The 6,000-nt window shown below is 50.2% G+C and overlaps 1 long non-coding RNA gene across 2 annotated transcripts in view; it reads right to left on the bottom strand.

Moving 5' to 3' along the window:
- LINC02074 (long intergenic non-protein coding RNA 2074) overlaps positions 1-5,705 on the bottom strand; it is a 50,789-nt gene extending 45,084 nt beyond the window's left edge. For both annotated transcript variants that reach the window (NR_184084.1, NR_184085.1), the window contains exon 1: positions 5,452-5,705. This is a non-coding gene — a long non-coding RNA (long intergenic non-protein coding RNA 2074). The remainder of the gene's footprint in view (positions 1-5,451) is intronic.
- Between the last annotated feature and the right edge of the window lie 295 nt (positions 5,706-6,000).

A 6,000-nucleotide genomic window follows, 5' to 3' on the forward strand; every position in this document is an offset into this window, starting at 1 on the left:
AGTTCCAGGGACCTCAAATGCGGGACGTCACAAATTCCACTCACCAAACGGACTCCTCCTCTGCACTCCCTACCATCGTGGATGACACTGTCACCCACCCAGTGCCCAAGCAGACACCACCCAGCCATGACCCACCATCCTTAACGGGCCTAGAGCTCATGCTCTGCTCTTGGGCGACGCTGGCCAAGGCCACCATCATCACTCTGAGCTGGGTTCCCACAGCGCTGCCACCTGGTCTTCCTTCCTGCAGTCCCAGCCACCCACCCCCACCTCCAGTTGGCCAGCAAAGGCATCTAAGACACACATGCCATCACGCTGTGCCCGGTTTAACATCTTTTTTGAGACAGGGTCCAACTCTGTCACCAAGGCTGGAGTGCAGTGGTGCAATCACAGCTCACTGCACCCTTGACCTTCTGGGCTCCAGCGATCCTCCTGCCTCCGCCTCCCGGGTAGCTAGGACCACAGGCATGCACCACCACACCTGGCTAATTCTTGTATTTTTTGTAGAGACAGGGTTTAGCCATGTTCCCAGGCTGGTCTTGAACTCCTGGGCTCAAATGATCCTCCCACCTCAGCCTCCCTAGTAGCTGAGACTACAGGTGCGTGCCACCAGGCCCAGCTTTTTTTTTTTTTTTTTTTTTTAATTTTTTGTAGAGATAGGGTTTTCCCATGTTGCCCAGGCTGGACTCAAACTCCTGTTCTCAAGTTATCCGCCTGTCTCAGCTTCCCAAAGGGCTGAGATTAGAGGTGTGAGCCACTGTGCCCAGCCTTCACATCATCCAGCAGCTCCAGTGCCTGGGGTAAGGTCCAGTCCCCATGCTAAGGCTCTGCTGCCAGGTGTTTGGCTGAGGTCCCCTTGTCACCTTTGGAAATGCAACAGTTGTGGGTGGCCCCAGTCTCTGTCCCAAGAACATCAGCCCAGACCCTTGGTCAGAAAAGACTCAGAACAGATTCAGAGAAGCCACCAGTTCTCTCTGCCTCACAGTGTCCCACTGGGTCTGCCAAGTCTAATTCCGAATTGTATGAACTGACCACTGGTTTGGGCATCGACTCGTCCAAGCTTCAGAGACAAACAGCACAGGTTTCTGGGGCCCTCACCGCGCTGTAGCTCCCTTACCTCATCCACGTGCCGGGACTAATCGACAGCTTAGCCTCCCCACTCTCACCGGTTGCATTAAGACAGAGAGAGAGCAGCTGGCTTTGCATCTCCAATGGGTTAAAAAAGAGAAGGCAATTCCATTTACAAAATAGGATTACAATTTTGCAGAATCCTGCTGGGGCCTGGGGGAAACTTTGAAAACACATTCATTTTGTTTCATCCTTATCAGAGCCACCTGCTCTCCCTTCCCCCACACCAGCCATCTTGATTACTCAGAGACCAAGGCATGAGCAGGAGCTGCTGGTACCCCAGCCTGCAAAGGTGTCGCTGGGGCTCCTCAGCCATTTGGACTCCTGGCTGGGAGGCTCACGTCCTCGGTCAATAAAGTGCCCCTCTGGAGAGACAGAGGCACCAGCAGCTTTCCCACCACAGCAGGCCTGCTGAGACCTTGGCCCCTCCCCGAGACCTCCACAGAACCCTGAACCTACAACTGAGGAGGAATTGATCTTCCTCTGAAACTGTTTGTCTACAGGAAAAAAGAAACAAGCCAAAGAAAAGCAAGGGCAAGGGAATCAAGTTATTGCGACAGGTGTTCGGGCTCCCGAAATAATAAACATGTTGGGTAAGTTGCAGTCTCACTGTGGAAGGACTCATCTTGATGCAAAGCCTTTCTTCCCTGCACCAGAGGGGGAAAAAAACCATAGTAAACAGGAGGTGGGGGAAATCAATTCCTCATGCACGTTGCTCATTGAATGAGGGAATCTCAACCCAACTCTGTCCTTTCCTGTCTTCTATTAACTTTGTCAATTTCCCACCTCCTGAGTTGCTGGCTTTGCATGATGAGGTGGGTGAAGGTTTGGGGAGGTGAGCTGGAGAAAGTTGATGGCCCCTTGGGCTGGGCCATGGCCTTTTAACTCTATTATGTTGGGATGGGGGGCTTTGTCTCCAGATTGGCTGCAAGAAATCACAGAAAATGAGGGACCTTAGAGAGCACCTATTTCAACCACCTTATTTTACAGATTAGGAAAATAAATCTCGGGGAGTTTAAGGTCTCACCCAAGGTTGTTTAGCCATGAGCCACAGAGGCAGCCCATAAAAGAGCTAAATGAATGGCGAGTCCAGTGGGCAGGTACTGCCCCGGAGCAGAGGGAAGCGCTTCTGCAGCTCCTTGGATTTTGTTGCCTGAGGTCGAATAAAGAACTCTTAAAGGGATAATGGCTCAGTAACTCAGGTGCTAAAGTAATGGAAGCGAGAGGGAAGATCACCTCCTGACTCTCAATCTCTGGGGGACAGGGGGCGGTGGGAACGAGAAAGAATTGATGGGGGCCTCCTCCTGTGTCCCTGAACAAACAGAGCACTTGCAAGAAAAGTGCTTAGGAACTAATCACCCCTACGAGTGGGAGGGGTGCCCTTCAGATGGTAAATCTCCCCATTACCAAGGACGCTTCCTTTATTGTGGATTCGCAGTCTCCTCAGAGAAGCATCCAAGGAGCTTGGCATCTCCCTTGCTCCTGGTGAGACCGGAAGGCAGGCTGGTCCCCAGCTCTTCAGAGTGGAGCTGGGAAGAGCTGCAGCTGCCCCAACGCTGGGAAGTCACCAGTCCTTAGGGTTGCTACGTTTAGCAGATGAAAATTCAGGATGGGCCAGGTGTGATGGCTCACACCTGTAATCCCAGCACTTTGGGAGGCCGAGGCAGGTAGATCACCTGAGGTCAGGAGTTCGAGACCAGCCTGGCCAACACGGTGAAACCCTGCCTCTACTAAAAATACAAAAATTAGCTGGGCGTGGTGGTGGGTGTCTGTAATCCCAGCTGCTCCGGAGGCTGAGGCAGGAGAATCACTTGAACCCGGGAGGCAGAAGTTGCTGTGAGCCAAGATCACGCCACTGCACTCCAGCCTGGGTGACAGAGCAAGACTCCATCTCAAAAAAAGAAAAAAAAAAAAAGACATAACAGCCAGGTAAATCTGAAAAACAGCTCTAACTGCCTAACTTGTAATGTTTTGGTGAGAGACAGCTAAATAATATTTAGGGTGTTCCAACAGGGTCAATATGGGTCAAAGGACAACATCTGTTAGCTCAGAAGAAATCTGTCAGCACAGAGCATATGCGTTGGCCGGGCACGGCGGCTCATGCCTGTAATCCCAACACTTTGGGAGGCCAAGGTGGGAGAATCGCTTGAGCACATTTCAAAAATCAGCCTGGACAACATAGGGATATCCCTGTCTCTACAAAAATAAAAAAAAAAATGAGCCACGCCTGGTGGCACGTGCCTGTGGTCCCAGCTACTTGAGGGGCTGAGATGAAAGGATTGCTTGTTGAGATCAAGGGTGCAGTGAGCCGTGATCACGCCACCGCATTCCAGCCTGGGAGACAGAGCAAGACCCTGTCTCAAACAAAAAAAATGTGTATACACAGGGCCCCTGGCCACCGTCCCCGCTCGAAACCCCACGCAAGTGTGTGGGAAGTGCCCTGCCCCACACACAGTAATCTGTCTGCTCCTCCCAGGGTGAACTCCGTATGAATGACAGCCTGGCAGTCTGTGTGTGCTTCCCCACTAGGGTAGGGGCCCAGAAAAGGGCTCTCCAAAGTGGGCTGATAACATTTTGGACTGTTAAGTCTTTTCATCCTAGGGGGCCTTCCTGGTGGAAGCAGGCTTCAAAGAAAGATTTATGTACACCACAGAGCTCCAGCATCTCCTACATTTAAAAGTCTGGGACACTCTCAAAGGACCAAATAAGTTGCATTGGAACAAAAGTGACAAACAGGAAGGCGGGATAGGTAGGGGGCGGGTAGTGCCATGGGGCTTGGACACTGTGGCTGGCAAGTCATTTCACCCTTCTGAAACTGGTTTTTTTAATTTTATAGTTAAAGGATCTTGTTATGTTGCCCAGGCTGATCTCAAACACCTGGGTTCAAGCGATCCCCCTGCTTCGCCTCCCAAAGCGCTGGGATTCCACTGGCCGGCTTGAAACCCTCTTATTTGTGGGATGAAGACTGCCCAGCCCACAGGTTGTTTTGAAGATCACATGGGGTGATGGAAATAAAAATGCTTTCAAATAGCAAGCTGCGGCCGGGCACAGTGGCTCACGCTGTAATCTCAGCACTTTGGGAGGCTGAGGCGGGTGGATCACGAGGTCAGGAGATCTCTCGAGACCATACTGGCTAACACAGTGAAACCCCATCTCTACTAAACAAAAATAGAAAAATTAGCCAAGCGGCTACTCGGAGGCAGAAGAATGGCGCGAACCCGACAAGCGGAGCTTGCAGTGAGCCAACATGGCGCCACTGAACTCCAGCCTGGGCGACAGAGCAAGACTGTCTCAAAAAAAAAGTAAAAAAAAATAAAAATAGCAAGCTGCTACAGAATGGAATATAAGCTCCTAATAAAATTGGACATGACCTGACACCGAGTACCAAGCTAAACACTTCACGTGCTTTATCTCAGCGCCTCTCAGTTAATCTCATCGTCACATGCCTATGGGGCCAATCCATAACTTCTTCACTTTGCATCTGTGGAGCTCAGAGGTCTTGTACGGCCTGGCCCCACAGTCGGTAAATGAAACACAGACCCTGGCCGGGTGCGGTGGCTCACACCTGTAATTCCAGCACTCTGGGAGGCCAAGGCAGGCAGATCACGAGGTCAGGAAATTGAGACCATCCTAGCTAACATGGTGAAACCCGGTCTCTACTAAAAATACAAAAAAATCAGCCAGGCATGGTGGTGGGCGCCTGTAGCCCCAGCTACTTGGGAGGCTGAGGCAGGAGAACGGCGTGACTCCGAGGTGGAGCTTGCAGTGAGCCGAGATGGAGCCCCCACACTCCAGCCTGGGAGACAGAGTGAGACTCTTGTCTCAAAAAAAGACCCTGATTCCAAACCCGGTGTTCATTCATTCCTTGTTCAACAACGATTCAGCAAATGTTTGCTGCCATCAGCAGAGTTCAGGGTATCAAAAAGAAAGCAGTGGATGGGAGACACCCACTCTTGCTCTCATAAAACTCAGTCTATTAGAACCATCACCACAGGAGAAAGGATAATTTTCCAAGCATTTACAAGGCACCAAGGACCGTGCTAGGTACTTTCCATGATATAGGAACTAATGTTATTCCCATTATTTCAATGAAAACCGAAATTCAAAAAGGCGAAATGATAAACCCAGGTCACACAGCTACGGTGGAGCTTGGATTTGAACCCAAGTCCTGGACTCCAGAGGCCTTATTCTCCCTTGCTGCTACGCTAGAGAAACAAAAAGCTTTCATTGTGATGATTTAAAGCTTAACCCTCACTATAAGGATAGTGACCCCATATATTACCATGTTGTGTCTGGAATTTGTGGATTCTTGGTCTTACTAACCTCAAGAATGAAGCCGTGAACCCTCGCACTGAGTATTACAGTTCTTAAAGGCGGCGTGTCCGGAGTTTCTTCCTTCTGGTGGGTTAGTGGTCTCGCTAAGCTTCAAGAGTAAAGCTGCAGACCTTCATGGTGAGTGTTACAGCTCATAAAGGCAATATAAACCCAAAGTGAGCAATAGCAATATTTATTGCAAAATAGTGCAGAGTGAAAGAACAAACCTTCCACAGCACAGAAAGATAACCAAACGGGTTGCTACCGCTAGCTCCGGCAGCCTGCTTTTATTCTCTTATCTGGCCCCACCCACATCCTGCTGATTGGTCCATTTTACAGAGAGCCCATTGGTCTGTTTTACAGAGAGCTGATTGGTCCGTTTTGACAGGGTGCTGATTGGTGCGTTTACAATCCCTGAGCTAGACACAAAAGTTCTCCACATCCCCACTAGATTAGCTAGATACACAGTGTCGATTGGTGTATTTACAAACCCTGAGCTAGACACAGAGTGCTGATTGGTGCATTTACAAACCTTGAGCTAGATACAGAGTGCCGATT

Source organism: Homo sapiens, chromosome 17, assembly GCF_000001405.40.
Source record: "Homo sapiens chromosome 17, GRCh38.p14 Primary Assembly".
NCBI lineage: Eukaryota > Metazoa > Chordata > Mammalia > Primates > Hominidae > Homo > Homo sapiens.